An 18676-nucleotide genomic window follows, 5' to 3' on the forward strand; every position below is an offset into this window, starting at 1 on the left:
TTCATGTATATACAAACAGGTTATCACTTTCCTATGTGGCTGGCTATTATGAATGCTAAACTGCTTTTCGCTCTCTCTCTAGATTCCATCACCCAGCACAAGGTCTGTGCCCCTGAAAACTACCTATTGTCACAATGACAGTGACCTCACTGGCCTGTGGTGACTGCACACAGCTCGCAAAACTGTCTTTGGATGTTCAAATGAGAAACAAAACTGTGAAGAGAAGGAACTGGCGTATACAAGATGACTTCTGATATCATGTTTGCCATGTGTTGTGGTTCTTAAGAACTCATAGGTGACTTTCTGATGACTGAATGTCTGTTTCAGAGACGCTTCGGGCCTTTTTATTTTTATTTTATTTTTTATTTTTTGAGACGGAGTCCTGCCCTGTTTCCCAGGCTGGAGTGCAATGGCACAATCTCGGCTCACTGCAACCTCCACCTCCCAGGTTCAAGCGATTCTGCTGCCTCAGCCTCCTGAGTAGCTGGGATTACAGATGTGTGCCACCATGCCTGGCTAATTTTTGTAGTTTTAGTAGAGACAGGGTTTCGCCATGTTGGCCAGGCTGGTCTCAAACGCCTGAGCTCAGGTGATCTGTCAGGCCTCTTCTATAGAATTCCAGTCTTTGTGTCTTAGTCATGATCATAATTGAAAGGTCACAGAACCTTTGTCATTAGAGCACAGTACTGCCAAATAAAGAATGGAAATTCAATGACATTGTTTTATTACTGAGAACAACTAGAGAACTCTGCAAGTTTCTTGGCTTAGACTCGATCTTTATTAATACATTATCTATTAGGTAGGAAAGACATTTGTCAGCTATTAAGGTGACTTTTATCTAGCGGAGATTCCTCTCTTAAAGTAATGAAAGGAGATAGGTATGGGGGGTGTTATACAGGATAATTGGTGACATCTGAGTGTCTTACTTCTGCAAGCCTGCTTTATGGTGAGCAAAGCATCACCAGCAAGTGATCACAATGTCCACTGGCCGCTTTTTGCCTGCCGTCCTCGAGATGAAATTGGCAGTTGGGGCTGATTCACAGAAACACCGATTTGTGGCTGAGCACGGTGGCTCACACCTGTCATCCCAGCCCTTTGGGAGGCTGAGGTGGACAGATCACTTGAGGTCAGGAGTTCGAGACCAGCCTGACCAACGCAGCAAAACCCATCTCTACTAAAAATACAAAAATCAGCTGGGTGTGGTGGCACACACCTGTGGTCCCAGCTCCTCAGGAGTCTGAGGCAGAAGAATCGCTTGAACCCAAGAGGCAGAGGTTGCAGTGAGCCAAGGTTGCAGTGAATCAAGATTGCTCCACTGCACTCCAGCCTGGGCAACAGAGTAACTCTCCTTCTCAAATAAATAAATAAATAAATAAGAAACACTGATGTGTCTGTCACCTTCTAAAGAAATGAAATGCTAGGAAGTCCTAGCCAGAGTGATCAGGCAAGAATAAGCCATAAAAGGCATCCAAATAGGAAAAGAAGTCAAACTGTCTCTCTTCACTGCCGATATGATTCTATACCTAGAAAACCCTAAAGACTCTGCCAAAAGGCTCCTGGAACCGATAAATGACTTAAGTAAAGTTTCAGGATAGTAAATCCATGTACAAAAATCAGCATTTCCAAACACAGTAACATTCAAGCTGAGCACCAAATCAAGAACGCAATCCCATTTCCAATAGCCACGGAATGAAATACCTAGGAACACGTATAACCAAGGAGGCAAAGGATCTCTACAAGGAGAACCATAAACGAGATGCTGAGTCCCAGCGAGGTCGGAGGTGCCACTGAGCCCTCATCGTGGTGCCGTTCCCGCTCTGGGTTATTTATCTGTTGCTCATCTCAGCTGTTGTTCCTACCTCAAATTTCAAGTCCCTCAACAAATATAACAGAACCACTTCTAGAATGAACCTTTGAGAAGGGAGGTAGCAGTGCATTGTATAGGAATTGGCATTCTATAGAAAACCACAGAAACTGGAAATAATGAAGGGTTGTCTCTTGGTTTTAAAATAATGTATACACCTAAATCATCCCCTTATGATACTCATCCTCTAACAGCAATTGAACTTCAATACAATGAGTCATTCCTGAGTTCACTCGCTTCACATTACATATGTTTCTCTATAACCACAAGCATCCTGGCTTGGTAGTGCTCCCACAGCACCAAAAATCCCTGAGGAGGCTGACAAACATTGTGCTGACTCATGCTGGAGACAAGCCACAGAGAACTTCCATCCCCCACCACATCAGCCACGGAGCCAGCCCAGCCTCTGCCCACCCAGGCCTCAGTCCCCAGTGTTAAGTTCTGATCCCTGATGCTGGCCTGCCAGTGGCCAGTCAAGATTCTCTTTCTGAAAGCTAGTATTTTATGAGGACTGACTGTTGCTAGACATTACACTAAGCACATTATATGTTGTACTTCATTTTACCCTTTCAACAATCCTATTAGTAGCTTACTGTGGGTCTGCAAAGCCTTACTCAAAACATATAGGGCTAGAGGTTCTCAGGATTCTGAATTTTAAAAAAAATTTGTAAAGGCTTATGGCTCTCACCACTGTTATTCAACGTTGCATTAAAGTTTCTACCCAGAGAAGGCAATAAAAGGAAATTAAAGCTATACAGATTGGAAGTGAAGAAATAAAAGTCTTTATTCTCAAGAATACAAGACACTATGTATAGAAATTGTAAGGAATGCAAAAAAAAAAAAAAAAAAAAGCCCTACAAGAACTTATAACAAGTTTAGCAAGATTGCAATATACAATCTTGCAATCTTCCTAAAGATTATATACAAACCTAACAGAATTGTATTTATATATACTGTCAATAAGCAATTCAAAATGAAATTAAGACCACGATTCCATTTAAAATTGCATCTAAAAATAAACAAAATAGGAATAGACTTGGCAACAGTTGTAACATCTGTATACTGAAACCTGTAAAACATTGCTGAAAGAAGTTAAAGACTTCTTTAAATAGAGACATATACAAAGTTCATAGATTAGAAGATGCAATATTGTTAAGATGATAGTCCTCAAATTGACGTATAGATTCAATGCAATCCATTAAAATCTCAGATGGCTTTTTATAGAATTTGAAAAGCTGATGCTAAATCTTTTATGAAAATGCAAAGAACCTCTAGTAGACAAAACAATTTTTTTAAGAGCAAAGTTGGAGGATTTATAGAACCTGATTCCAAAACTGTCAGTAAAACTACAATAATTACAAAGTATCAGCCAGGTGCCGTGGCTCACATCTGTAATACCAGCTCTCTGGGAGGCTGAGGCGGGTGGATCACTTGAAGTCGGGAGTTTAAGACCAGCCTGGCCAACTTGGTGAAACCTTGTCTCTACTAGAAATACAAAAAATTAGCCAGGCATGATGGCACACACCTGTAATCTCAGTTACTCAGGAGGCTGAAGCAGAATAGCTTGAACCCAAGAGAGTCCAGCTCAAAAACAACAACAAGAACAAAAGTATCACATTGGCATAAGAATAGACATGTAAATCAAATAACAAAATAGAGAATTCAGGTATAAATCTTCATATTTATGGCTGATTGACTTTGAACAAAGGTGACGAGGCAAGTCAGTATAGCAGCATATTCTTTTCAACAAATGGTGCTGGCAGAAGAAAAAAAAAGTACTTGGATCCTTACCTCACACCATGCACAAAAATTAGCTCAACGTGGACTATATCAGGGTTTCTCAACATCAGCAGTGTTGGCGTTTGCTGGGGTGGATAATTCTTTCCTGTGGAGAGCTGTCCTGTGCACTGTAGAATGTTTAGCTGCATCCTGGCCTCTGCCTATTAGATGCCAGTGGCATCCCTCCCCTGACACACACCTAGTTTTGACAATCTCTGTCTCCAGATATTCCCAAATGTGCCCTGGAGAGCAAAACTGTTTCCAGTTGAGAACCATTGACCTAATGTAAAAAATAAAATGTACAGAAGAAAGCATAGCAGGAAATCATTCTGACCTCAGGTTAGGCAAAGCTTTCTTAGATATGACACTAAAGGCATAATTCATTAAAAAAATAAGTTGGGCTTTGTCAAAATTTTAAGTTTTGCTCTTCTGAAGAAACCATTAAAAAAAAATGAAAAGACAAGCCACAGACTATGAAAAAATACTTGCAAATCATATATCTGATAAAGGACTTGTACCCAGACCATGTAAAGAACTCATAACTCATTAATAAAAGGATAAAGAAAAAGCTGAAGACAATTCATGCAAGAAGATATACAAATATTAAGCACATTAAAATGCTCAATATTATTAGTCACTAGGGAAATACAAATTAAAGGCCCAATGAAATACCTATTACACACCCATTAGAATGACTGTAAACAACAAGACTGATAATTCCAACATCTGACCAAGATATGGAGAAACTAGAACTCTCCTACATTGCTGGCATGAGTGCAAAATGATACAGCCACTTTGAAACACCATTTGGCAGTTGCTTAAAAAATTGAACATTCAACTACCATATGACCCAGCAATTTCACTCTCAGGTATATAACCAAAATACATGAAAACATGGATCTGCACAAGGTCTTGTATACAAATGTTCATAGCAACATTATTCATAATAACCAAAAATTAGCCCATCAACTGAAAAGTAGATAAACAAAATGTATATCCACACCATGGAACGCTACTCAGCAAACTTCTAAAAAGCAACAAACTACTAAACACGTGCAACAACATGAATGAGCCTCAGAAACATAAGTGAAAGAGGTCAGACACAAAAGACTACAAATTGTAAGATTCCATTTAGATACCATTTCTACAAACCGCAAAACTGTAGAGGCACGAAACAGATTCATGGTCTGCTGCAGCTGGGGATGGGAGTGGGAACAGAGAGCAAACATTTTGGGATGATGGAAACATTCTAAAACTGGATTGTGATTTTGGTTACACAACTGTATACATTTACTAAAATCAATGAACAGAACACTTTTAATGGGTAAGCCTTAAGGCATGTGAATTATACACCAATAAAGCTATTTTTTTTAAAAAAAAGAGAGAGAGAGAACGAGAGCTACATGGCAGCCCCAGGGCAATAGCTCTCAGATCTCCCTTAGAGAAAGAACTTTCTCTTCCACAGCAATGAGTGCAGGTAGCTAACACTGACCAACCTGCATCTGGTAGTTCATTTAAGGTCGGCCTTGGCTTTCAAGTTAAGGCCATGGTCTTTCTCTGCAGTCCCCAGCCAATACGTGGGCACAGAAAGGCACAGGGCATGGCTGATTCAGCCCAACATGAGGCTCCACACCCTAGAACTCCCTGTGGAGTTGGCCGATACTGCCTGTGACCTGCAATGTGGTCTAAGCTGTCAGACCTCCACAGTGGCCAGAAGGTTTTCCATACCTGAGCCTGCTTCTACCCACTTTTATTTTTCCCAGGAGTCACGCTTAGTCATCTCTTGCTCTTTGAACTCCATGTCTGTATCAGCTACCCAGAGGACCCATCAGACAGAAAGTAATATGCAGATAACAGCCCAGGGGAATCTGGGCAGCACTGTGAAACCAACATTTCTTCAGTGAAACCTAGAACAAAAGTGGAATAAATAAAAACTAACTGTCTCATTTCAGCACTGGCAGTCTCACTCTGGAATCTGTGTTCATGCTACCCAGGCCTATACTACAAGCTCGTTCAGCCATAACAGGGCAACTGTGAGGCTGTTGGATGGGATGATGTTGGAAGTAAATGCTCAGTGCTGCCAAGTGAAAATAGCACTCAGGCAGAAGTCTTCTCACCAAGGCAATTTACTTTTATAGAAGGGTGCATCTCGCGGATGGAACAATGGCGAGAGCACACTGGACAAGGGAGGGGAAGGGGGCCTTATTTCTAATGCAGCTAGCCCTACTGCTATATCTTTCCCCCACTGACTAGGGTTGGACCGCACAGTCTAAGCTAATTCCAATTGGCTATTTTAAAGACAGCAGAGGTACAAGCCACACTGGCAGGACAGTTACAGAACAGGTGACTAAGGATGACTAAGGACAGAACAGGTGACTAAGGATGACGAAGGACAGAACAGGTGATTAAGGACAGAGCAAGTGACTAAGGTTGACTAAGGACAGAGCAGGTGACTAAGGACAGAACAGGTGACTAAGGATGACTAAGGACAGAACAGGTGAGTAAGGACAGAACAGGTGACTAAGGATGACTAAGGATAGAACAGGTGACTAAGGGTGACTAAGGATAGAACAGGTGACTAAGGGTGACTAAGTACAGAGCGGGTGACTAAGTACAGACCAGGTGACTAAGAATGACTAAGGACAGAGCAGGTGACTAAGTACAGAACAGGTGACTAAGGGTGACTAAGTACAGAGTGGGTGACTAAGTACAGAGCAGGTGACTAAGGATGACTAAGGACAGAGCAGATGACTAAGTACAGAACAGGTGACTAAGTACAGAACAGGTGACTGAGGATGAATAAGGACAGAACAGGTGACTAAGGGTGACTAAGGACAGAGCAGGTGACTAAGGACAGGTGACTACGGATGACTAAGGACAGAACAGGAGACTATGGATGACTAAGGACAGAGCAGGTGACTAAGGACAGAACAGTGACTATGGATGACTAAGGACAGAACAGGTGACTACGTATGACTTAGGACAGAACAGGTGACTAAGGACAGAACAGGTGACTAAGGACAGAGCAGGTGATAGAGGCTAGGAGCGGGCTGTTTACTGAAACTAGGGGTAAAGAGATGTAAAGAATGAGAAAGTTAAACTTTAAAATGGAGAACAAAGAACAGGGAAGCTGAATATACTGACACATTGGTTCTTTGGAGAGGAACTCAGAACTCAGCGTACTTAACAATTTTCTCCCTCTTGAATTTTAAAAGACATTAACAGGCTAAACTTCGAAGAGGAATTTATTGTTTCCTACAGATGACAATTAATAATCAATCTTGCAATGTTTACTGAGGTCACTATCCTCAGTGCTATACGTGTTCTGTGTCCCATAGACTTCAGGGTAACTACATGGTCCTTAAACTTACAATCTAAAGTATTTCCATGAGACCTTCCTTAATAGACGTTTGTTCTCAGCCTTCTTTCAATAGCAACATCCTTTGTTCACATGAGGATGCATAAAGAAATACAATACGTAAAAACATGTTATCAGGACCGCTCTCATTAAGCTGGGTAGGGGGTGGTCACACGAGGGTTTCAGATCCTCACCCAAGGATCTCATCTTTCTCTGCACAAGGGTAGGCTGCACAGCGCCTTTGTAGATACTTCCGAGATTGCTTGAAAACTGCCGGTCTGGCCCAGTCCCTCCTATCACTGACAAAGAAGCTGAGATCTCGAAAGACACGCCACCCATGAGCAGTAACTCAGTGCAAAGAATCTAAATACCAGAACTCCTGACCCACAAGGCTTTCTCTGTGCATCCAAGATGTCCCAAACTGAAATGGTCTATGCACGACAGAGAACTTTGATCACACTCAGAAAACGTCTTTGAAAATGAAACATGGCACATTGCAGAGATGTCACAAATGAGACTTCCCTTGATGGTCCCTGAGAGCGTCTTTGTGTTCCATGTAGCTGCTCCCATTATTTTGGGCAGACATTGACAGTCTTTGATGAAACATTTTTCACCTTGAGTTACAGTAAATGTTATCATCTCATGTTTTTGGAAATGCCATTCAAGGACTTGAGAGATCATTTCTAGATAATTGTTTATAACCATGCCCCTTATAATTTCATTTGAGATTATATGAGAAAAATCTAAGCATACCTATTTAATAAAGGATTTGGACAACTGCATCTCAAACTTTAATACAAATTCAAATCACCTGGGGATATTGTTAACTGGCAGATTCTACTTCAGCACATCTGGGGCCAGAAAGGCTGCGTTTCTCTCCCCTCCCCTCCCCTCCCCTCCTCTCCCCTCTCCTCTCCTCTCCTCCTTCCTTCTCTCTCTCCTCCTTCCTTCTGTCTCTTCTCTGTCTTCTCTCTCTCTTCTTTCTTTCAAGATGGGTCTCCCTCTGTCACCCGGCTGGAGTACAGTGGCACACTCATGGCTCACTGCAAAGGCTGGATTCTAACAAGCTATCCGGTGATGTGGATGCAGTTTCAGAAGCAGGGAGTTAGAATACGCAATGGGATATTATAAATGTACATTTCATTTACTTCTGCACAAGATGTAATGTCTTGTTAAACCAAACTGCTATTTTTTTTTTTTTGAGACAGAGTCTCACTCTGTCACCCAAGATGGAGTGCAGTGGCCCAATATCGGCTCACTGCAACCTCCGCCTCCCGGGTTCACGCCATTCTCTTGCCTCATGAGGTCAGGAGATTGAGACCAAATTGCTATTTCTTACAGTGTTGCAAATACCTTGTGAGATTCTTATCAAGGTATTGGAGAATAACTAGGGCACTGATTATGAGAACATCAGAATTGTCAGAGGCGTCCTAACTAGGGTGACTCCATCCTGAATAAAGCCTGGATAGAGCCAAACCTGATGGGGGACATTCCCTGAGGGATGATCACTCTCAGTCACAGGATGTTTATAGTTGAGGGAACGAGTTAATGATGCTGACTACCTACCTAAAGAACCAGAACTTACAGAAATGTCCCAGTATTTGAAGAACAAACAGCATTGTTAGTTTAAGAACAGGGTTCGTTTTAGAGATAACAGCACATTCATAAATTCTTGCTGAAATCAATAGTTGCACAAGAAAATAACAGTATTAATAGCCTGTCGTAAGCTGATCACAAATCTTTGTAATATATTACACTCTTCTAAGCCAACAAAGATCAAAACAGACAAAGAAGGGCATTACATAATGGTAAAGGGATCAATTCAACAAGAAGAGCTAACTATCCTAAATATATATGCACCCAATACAAGGGCACCCAGATTCATAAAGCAGGTCCTTAGAGACCTACAAAGAGACTTAGACTCCCAAACAAAAATAATGGAAGACTTTAACACCCCACTGTCAACATTAGACAGATCAACAAGACAGAAAGTTTACAAGGATATCCAGGAATTGAACTCAGCTCTGCACCAAGCGGACCTAATAGACATCTACAGAACTCTCCACCCCAAATCAAGAGAATATACATTCTTTTCAGCACCACACTACACCTATTCCAAAACTGACCACATAGTTGGAAGTAAAGCACTCCTCAGCAAATGTAAAAGAACACAAATTATAACAAACTGTCTCTCAGACCACAGTGCAATCAAACTAGAACTCAGGATTAAGAAACTCACTCAAAACCACTCAACTACATGGAAACTGAACAACCTGCTCCTGAATGACTACTGGGTACATAACGAAATGAAGGCAGAATTAAAGATGTTCTTTCAAACCAACGAGAACAAACACACAACATACCAGAATCTCTGGGACACATTCAAAGCAGTGTGTAGAGGGAAATTTGTAGCAGTAAATGCCCACAAGAGAAAGCAGGAAAGATCTAAAATTGACATCCTAACATCACAATTAAAAGAACTAGAGAAGCAAGAGCAAACACATTCAAAAGCTAGCAGAAGGCAAGAAATAACTAAGATCAGAGCAGAACTGAAGGAAATAGAGACACAAAACACCCTTCAAAAAATCAATGAATCCAGGAGCTGGTTTTTTGAAACGATCAACAAAAGTGATAGACCGCTAGCAAAACTAATAAAGAAGAAAAGAGAGAAGAATCAAATAGACGCAATAAAAAATGATAAAGGGGATATCACCACCGATCCCACAGAAATACAAACTACCATCAGAGAATACCGCAAACACTTCTATGCAAATAAACTAGAAAATCTAGAAGAAATGGATAAATTCCTCGCACATACACCCTCCCAAGACTAAACCAGGAAGAAGTTGAATCTCTGAATAGATCAATAACAGGCTCTGAAATTGAGGCAATAATTAGTAGCTTACCAACCAAAAAAAGTCCAGGACCAGATGGATTCACAGCAGAATTCTACCAGAGGTACAAGGAGGAGCTGGTACCATTCCTTCTGAAACTATTCCAATCAATAGAAAAAGAGGGAATCCTCCCTAACTCATTTTATGAGGCATCATCCTGATACCAAAGCCAGGCAGAGACACAACAAAAAAAGAGCATTTTAGACCAATATCCCTGAGGAACATAGATGCAAAAATCCTCAATAAAATACTGGCAAACTGAATCCAGCAGCATATCAAAAAGCTTATCCACCACGATCAAGTGGGCTTCATCCCTGGGATGCAAGGCTGGTTCAATATACACGTATCAATAAACGTAATCCAGCATATAAACAGAACCAAAGACAAAAACCACATGATTATCTCAATAGATGCAGAAAAGGCCTTTGACAAAATTCAACAACCCTTCATGCTAAAAACTCTCAATAAATTAGGTATTGATGGGACATATCTCAAAATAATAAGAGCTATCTATGACAAACCCACAGCCAATAACATACTGAATGGCAAAAACTGGAAGCATTCCCTTTGAAAACTGGCACAAGACAGGGATGCCCTCTCTCACCACTCCTATTCAACATAGTGTTGGAAGTTCTGGCCAGGGCAATCACTTAGGAGATGGAAATAAAGGGTTATTCAATTAGGAAAAGAGAAAGTCAAATTGTCCCTGTTTGCAGATGACATGATTGTATATCTAGAAAACCCCATCGTCTCAGCCCAAAGTCTCCTTAAGCTGATAGGCAACTTCAGCAAAGTCTCAGGATACAAAATCAATGTGCAAAAGTCACAAGCATTCCTATACACCAATAAGAGACAAACAGCCAAATCATGAGTGAACTCCCATTCACAATTGCTTCAAAGAGAATAAAATACTGAGGAATCCAACTTACAAGGGATGTGAAGGACCTCTTCAAGGAGAACTACAAACCACTGCTCAATGAAATAAAAGAGGATATAAACAAATGGAAGAACATTCCATGCTCATAGGTAGGAAGAATCAATAGCGTGAAAATGGCCATACTGCCCAAGGTAATTTATAGATTCAATGCCATCCCCATCAAGCTACCAATGACTTTCTTCACAGAATTGGAAAAAACTACTTTAAAGTTCATATGGAACCAAAAAAGAGCCCGCATTGCCAAATCAATCCTAAGCCAAAAGAACAAAGCTGGAGGCATCAAGCTACCTGACTTCAAACTATACTACAAGGCTACAGTAAACAAAACAGCATGGTACTGGTACCAAAACAGAGATATAGACCAATGGAACAGAACAGAGCCCTTAGAAATAATGCCACATATCTACAACTATCTGATCTTTGACAAACCTGACAAAAACAAGAAATGGGGAAACGATTCCCTATTTAATAAACGGTGCTGGGAAAACTGGCTAGCCATATGTAGAAAGCTGAAACTGGATCCCTTCCTTACACCTTATACAAAAATTAATTCAAGATGGATTAAAGACTTACATGTTAGACCTAAAACCATAAAAACCCTAGAAGAAAACCTAGGCAATACCATTCAGGACATAGGCACGGGCAAGGACTTCATGTCTAAAACACCAAAAGCAAGGGCAACAGAAGCCAAAATTGACAAATGGGATCTAATTAATCTAAAGAGCTTCTGCACAGCAAAAGAAACTACCATCAGAGTGAACAGGCAACCTACAGAATGGGAGAAAATTTTTGCAATCTACTCATCTGACAAAAGGCTAATATCCACAATCTAAAATGAACTCAAACAAATTTACAAGAAAAAAACAAACAACCCCATCAAAAAGTGGGCAAAGGATATGAACAGACACTTCTCAAAAGAAGACATTTATGCAGCCAAAAGACACGTGAAAAAATGCTCATCATCACTGGCCATCAGAGAAATGCAAATCAAAACCACAATGAGATACCATCTCACACCAGTTAGAATGGCAATCACTAAAAAGTCAGGAAACAACAGGTGCTGGAGAGGATATGGAGAAATGGGAACACTTTTACACTGTTGGTGGGACTGTAAACTAGTTCAACCATTGTGGAAGTCAGTGTGGCGATTCCTCAGGGATCTAGAACTAGAAATACCACTTGACCCAGCCATCCCATTACTGGGTATATACCCAAAGGACTATAAATCATGCTGCTATAAAGACACATGCACACGTATGTTTATTGTGGCACTATTCACAATAGCAAAGACTTAGAACCAACCCAAATGTCCAACAATGATAGACTGGATTAAGAAAATGTGGCACATATACACCATGGAATACTATGCAGCCATAAAAAATGATGAGTTCATGTCCTTTGTAGGGACATGGATGAAGCTGGAAACCATCATTCTCAGCAAACTATCACAAGGACAAAAAACCAAACACCACATGTTCTCACTCATAGGTGGGAATTGAACAATGAGAACACATGGACACAGGAAGGGGAACATCACACACCGGGGCCTGTTGTGCGGTTGGGGGAGGGGGCACAGATAGCATTAGGAGATATACCTAATGCTAAATGACGAGTTAATGGGTGCAGCACACCAACATGGCACATGTATACATATGTAACAAACCTGCACGTTGTGCACATGTACTCTAAAACTTAAAGTATAATTAAAAAAAATAAATTACATTCTTCTTTGCCTTAATATGCTATATAGGCAAGCATTACGTTTAAGGTGCTCCTCCTTGCTTTTCGAGGACACCCTACTCGGTAATAGTTTCTAATAAGCAGTTTTAACTTTACTATACTCTGCAACTTGCCCTGAATTCTTTCCCATGTGAGATCCAAGAACTCGCTCTTGGCATCCTTCTGGGACAAGACTCTTTTTTTTTTTTGAGACAGAGTCTTGCTCTGTCGCCCAGGCTGGAGAGCAGTGGCGCGATCTCGGCTCACTGCAAGCTCCGCCTCCTGGGTTCACGCCATTCTCCTGCCTCAGCCTCCCGAGTAGCTGGGACTACAGGCGCCCGCCACCACGCCCGGCTAATTTTTTGTATTTTTTTTTAGTAGAGACGGGGTTTCACCGCGTTAGCCAGGATGGTCTCAATCTCCTGACCTTCGTGATCCGCCTGCCTTGGCCTCTCAAAGTGCTGGGATTACAGGCGTGAGCCACCGTGCCCAGCCGACAAGACCCTTTTTTAGATAACTGAGTTTAAAAGTACATCTAAGGAGGCTGACGCAGGAGAATCGCTTGAACCCGGGAAGCAGAGGTTGCAGTGAGCCGAGATGGCGCCACTGCACTCCACCCAGGGTGACAGAAGGAGACGCCATCTCAAAAAATAAAAATAAAAATAAAAGTACATCTATGTCAACTGGGAGCCTGATATAACTTGTCCGGGCGTCCGTGTATTTGAGGTCTGTGCGAGCGTTTGTCTGTTTAGTGTGTAAACTCGTGTAACCACCACTGTGGTGAAGACACAGAGCAGCTCCGTGACCAGAAGGTTCTGTCCTGGGGCCCTTTTATAACCACGGAACCCACCAGCTTCTGTCCCTTCCTTAACTCCTGGCAACCACTCATCTGCCTTCCACTTCCATAACTCTGCCATTAATAACCTGTTACTTTATTTCACATGACAAGTAGTGACTTAATTGCAGATAAAGGGAACATTCATGTTTGCGCTTTTCTTGTCATTGCTTCCTTATGTGAACCTTTCTCTGCTTACAGGGAATCATATCGAGAAGTACAGTTTCTGTTTGGAGAGAATGGAAAGAGAAAAGAAAAATAAACACAATGGTCTCAATGTTCGAAAAAGCATGCAGTGGATATAATCACCTAAACCTAAACACCCTTTTGCACAACAGACCTACAGATAGTGATGGAAATGTCACAAGCTTCCTTCCAAAAGCACTGCAGAACTCCTAATAAAGAATGGAAATCCTCAGGCGGTGGGGAGTCAAGAGAGGCAGCCGGGATGCCGAGTCCAGGTCCTGGGGTCCGGCCGCTGCCAGGTAGGGCAGAGCAGGCTCTTGGGGAGCAGAGGCTTGGGTTTTCATGTCGAACAGGATCAGCAGATGAGGAAGTGGACCTGTGAAAAGTCGCTGGCATTGCAGCTGAGATCCCCTAAAGAAAAGCAAACTCCTGGAAGGACACGCTGAGAGGAAGAGGACTAGGAAAAACTGCACAAGAGGCCAAAGAAGCCAGACCGGCCCAGAGCTCCAATCAGGGAGAGCAAAAAAGAGACTCAACAGGTTTAAGTTCATATACGGTCATACAGGCCATGTTTTCTGAACTAAGCATAATGTAGGAAATTAATTGTATGAAGAAATCCAAACACTAGGCTGGGCACAGTGGCTCACGTCTGTAATCCAAGCACTTTGGGAGGCCAAGGTGGGCAGATCACTTGAAGCCAAGAGTTCGAGACCAGCCTGGCCTCCATGGTAAAAGCCCATCTCTACTAAAAATACAAAAAAAAATAGCAGGCATGGTGGCGCACACCTGTAATCCGGCCACTTAGGAGGCTGAGACACGAGAATCAGCTTGAACCAGGAGGCGGAGGTTGCAGTGAGCCCAGATCGTACCATTGCACTCCAGCCTGGGTGACAGAGTGAGACTCTGTCTCAAAGAAGTCCAAAAACTGTATTTGTAGGTTGAAAACATAAATAATTGATACATCAAAAGAAATCATAATGGAAATGAAAAAATATTTAGAACTGAAATAAAACCTTCTGGGACATACCTAATGCAATAGTTAGAGGGGACTATGCAGCCTTAATTGCTTATATTAGTAGTAAAGGGGGAAGAAACCTAAAACTTTGTTAGCTAAATATTGAATGAAATAAACTGGGGAGGGCCAGGCGCGGTGGCTCATGCCTGTAATCCCAGCACTTTGGGAGGCCGAGGTGGGCGGACCACGAGGTGAGATCGAGACTATCCTGGCTAACACAGTGAAACTCCGTCTCTACTAAAAATACAAAAAATTAGCCAGGCGTGGTGGCACACGCCTGTGGTCCCAGCTACTTGGGAGGCTGAGGCAGGAGAATCGCTTGAACCTGGGAGGCAGAGGTTGCAGTGAGCCGAGATCTCACCACTGCACTCCAGCCTGGGCAACAGAGCAAGCACTGTCTCAAAAAAAAGAAATAAAGAAATTGGGGAAATAGCTACATAGTAAATCAAAGAAAGTGATAGGAAGAAAATAATAGCAGAAAGTAACAAAATCAATATAAAGAAAAAAGAATCAATTAATCCGAAGATGATTCTTTGAGAAGACTAATAAAATAGACAAATTTCCGAAAGTTTGACCAAGGGTTGGAAGAAAAGAAGGAACAAAACAATGTTAGGCATGAAAGGGAAACGTAACTACTCACTACACTTACATACGCCTTTAAGTTTTCAAATCTTGAAGAATTTTGAAAGCATATGACAATAATAAACAATGGAAAGTAAAAGAAAATCTAAAAGGATGTTACATTAGAGGTTATATTAGAAATAATTAGATATAATTCAGCAAAAACAGACTTAAATCAAAAATTGCAATGAAATAGCGTGAAGTCTGGGAGGGAATGCAAAATTTTGATGCCCTCTCCCCGTGGAATCTGAACACATCACCCTCCCAGGGCCAGGACATCAATCAGTGCGTTCATGAACTCCTCTAAAGAACTTCCACCAAGGCTGTGCTGCAGAGTTTTTTATTGATGTGTCATTATGTGGGCATGAGATTGATTAAATTTATTAAGTTGGTTGATTGACCTCAATCTCTGGTCCTCTCCTCCATCCCCATGGTCATGATCAACCGAAGTCCCAACTTTCTAACCAAGTGCTTGGTCCTTCTGGTGACCAGCCCCCATCCTGAAGCCACCTAGGGGCCACCGGGGGTCACCTCATTAGCATCACAAAGACACTCCTAGTGCTCAGGAAATTACAAGGGTTTCTGAAGCTCTGTGCCAGGAACTAGGGACCAAGAACATGTATCTATTAGCCTCATTTAACAGATGTCCATTTTTGTTACACCACACATGGCAAGCCTGGTAAGGAGAGCCTTCCCCAAGAAGGTATGTAAGCAACTAGGAACTGGGTGGGATGTTTAATCCTCTTTCATGGAAGAGGAAAAATAATTGGAAATAATAATACATGGCATGACGAGAAAAAACTTAAAATCCCATGTTGAGGCCGGGTGCAGTGGCTCACACCTATAATCCTAGCACTTTGGGAGGCTGGTGGTGGGCAGGTTGCCTGAGCTCAGGAGTTCAAGACCAGCCTGGGCAACATAGTGAAACCCCGTCTCTACTAAAAATACAAAAAATGTGCTGGGTGTGGTGGCGTGCACCTGTAGTCCCAGCTACTTGGGAGGCTGAGGCAGTAGAATGACTTGAACCTGGGAGGCAGAGTTTGCCTCCAAAAAAAAAAAAATCCTATGTTGAACATGTTATGTTTGAGAGGTCTGAGTGACATCCGAATTAAGATGTGAAGTAGAGTGGTGTGTGTGTGTGTGTGTGTGTGTGTAGTCCGGACACTGCATGAGGACAAATCAGTAGGTGTGTGTGTCTTTTACGTCTCAGGAATTGATAAGCTCACCTGGAAGGAGAAAGCAACAGAGCCCCAAGCTTTAGCCATAGGGAACTCCAAACATTAGATCTGGTAAATGTAGAGAAGCTGTGTCTGGCAAAAGAAATACTTCAGCTGAGTTAAATTTAAAGGACCTTCATTGGGTAATGAACGGCAAATCAGGCAGCCCCCAGAATCACAGCGAATTTAGAGAGACCCCAGCACAGCCGAAGAAGATTTATAGACCAAACAAAGGGAGGTAATGTACAGAAATCAGGGGTAATGTACAGAAACAACTGGGTTGGTTACAGCTCAGCATTTGCCTTATTTAAACACAGTTTGAACACTCAGCAGTGTATAAATGGTTGAAGTATGGCTGCTGGGATTAGCCGAGACTCAGCTATTGTTACAGGTGCATACTCCTAAGTTAGGTTCTCAATCTTGTCTACCTATTAAGTTAGATTGCAGTTCGTCCACAAGGACTCGAATATAAAAGTACTGGAGTCCTTCTCTGGCCATATTTAGTTTGCTTTAACACTACCCAAGATAGAGAGTTCAAAGTCACAAAATCTAAGAAGAAAACATATTTCAAGAAGTCACTGGTTAGTTAACTGTTGAAAGCTAGCTGAGAACAATAGATCTGAGTAGAACCTCTTTAGGGGATCACATTGCTGAGAAGTAAAGCTCTTTGTCAACCAAAAATCAAGATCCCAAACATCTCTCATCTCTGCTCCCTTCCCTCCAATGTGATTGTTCCTCCCCTTCTTTGCTTCTCTTTGTTCTTTAAATTTATTTTTCTATATTCAACTCAATTCTTTTTCCTTCTCTTCCACCTCCTATGTTCCCTTCCTTTCTGGAGGCCCAAATGATTTCATTAAAATCAAGGTGTCAGCAGAGATTCCTTACTTTCTGGAGGCGCTGGGTGGGAATGCGTCTCTTGTCTCTTCTGGGATCTAAAGGTACCGCCTTCCTTGGCTCATGGCCCCTTCCTCCATCTTCAAAGCCAGCAACGGCAGGGGAGTCGTTCTCATCTTACTTCACTCTGACACTCACTCTTCTGCCCTCTCTTCCCCAATTAGGAACCCTTGTGATTACATTGATTACCTTGGGCTCCCCAAAATAACCCAGGTGGACTTGTTTTAAAGTCAGCTGATTAGTACCTTTTCCACCTACCACCTGAATCCCCCCGGCCATGGAAGGAAACATATTGACAGATTTTCAGATTAGAACATCTTTGAGGAGACCTTACTCTGCTGCCAACACTGGCCCCTGATTGCCTCACACTAAATCCAGGACGGATGCACTGACCATGGGTTCTCACTGGCACCCAGCCTGAAACCTCAGATAAGGCATTTGTCTTCTCAGAGCCAGGGTTTCTTCAACTGGCAATTTTCACAATAATCCCTGTCTGGTGCCTGAGAGCACAGGATGATGGCCAGGGAGTCGACGCCCTTCTGAAAGGGGGAAGAAGCAAAGGCATCTCGGTTTGCAGTATTCAGTGAGTTATGCTGACTCAAAGACACGAATCAGACACTGACTGGTAGGAACCCCCAGCACAGATTAAGAAGTGCATAGCCAACAGGCCTGACTCCAAACAATTCAAACAACAAGGAAAGAATAGAGAACTTATCATTATTGTGTCTGTTTGACAAATACTTAATTGACCATAATGTAAGGCTGGAATTTGCCTATTTTAAAGTTACCTGTGGTTGTAATTAAACTGTTTTGTTCAGTGTTCTCAATTCTAATTCTACTACTTTATTTAAAACTATAAATTTTTGTGTCAGGAAGACAATATCTACTTTTATCCCTCTAATATTTAACCCCTTAATGGAGACAGTAATTAGAATTATTGACCTGAAACTACACAAGATCATACAAACATTCTTCAGGCTAAACTATTATTTTGTTTGGTATGAGTTCCCAGTCTAAGCGTTAATATTTTCCCAAAGCCTCAGGACCTTGCAGGGACCAAACTCCACCTAGAACTCTAAGATACTGGCGGCAGCTGTCAATTTCATTAATCTGGTTTCAATTTTTTTAATATTTGGATTACAGCTTATCTATGGGAACTCATAGTTGTTCCATCTTTAATATTCCAGATAGACGATTTACTGAAAAAGCTAATTCAGTATTGTCTCCCGTGAGCCAGCCAATGAAACCTCAGCCAACGCTGAGGAGGGAGCACTCGAGGGGAGGAACGCCATCCTGGGCTCTCTAGGGCTGTTGTCTGTCAACAGCGAGATGAGAACAACGGGCAACAGCAGCAGCT

General features: G+C 42.0%; 1 protein-coding gene and 1 long non-coding RNA gene across 6 annotated transcripts in view, besides 1 other annotated feature; one reads left to right on the forward strand and one right to left on the reverse strand.

Moving 5' to 3' along the window:
• Positions 1-5597, forward strand: part of MCPH1 (microcephalin 1) — a 241882-nt gene extending 236285 nt beyond the window's left edge. For all 5 annotated transcript variants that reach the window (NM_001322042.2, NM_024596.5, XM_017013833.3 and 2 more), the window contains one exon: positions 83-5597. In NM_001322042.2, the coding sequence (NP_001308971.2) occupies positions 83-116 (34 nt within the window). In that variant the 3' untranslated portion in view covers positions 117-5597. The remainder of the gene's footprint in view (positions 1-82) is intronic.
• The window catches only part of MCPH1-AS1 (MCPH1 antisense RNA 1), a 92607-nt gene that overhangs the window by 27309 nt on the left and 46622 nt on the right, over positions 1-18676 (reverse strand). The window lies entirely within an intron of this gene.
• Positions 5231-6430: an enhancer, noted in NCBI's record as "P300/CBP strongly-dependent group 1 enhancer chr8:6505663-6506862 (GRCh37/hg19 assembly coordinates)". NCBI's record gives its function as "activates an origin of replication core promoter dependent on BRD2, BRD4, P300/CBP, MED14 and CDK7 cofactors, with strong dependence on P300/CBP, by STARR-seq in HCT116 cells {active_cell/tissue: HCT116}" and the evidence as "EXISTENCE:reporter gene assay evidence [ECO:0000049][PMID:35650434]".

The sequence above is a fragment of the Homo sapiens genome, chromosome 8 (assembly GCF_000001405.40).
Source record: "Homo sapiens chromosome 8, GRCh38.p14 Primary Assembly".
NCBI lineage: Eukaryota > Metazoa > Chordata > Mammalia > Primates > Hominidae > Homo > Homo sapiens.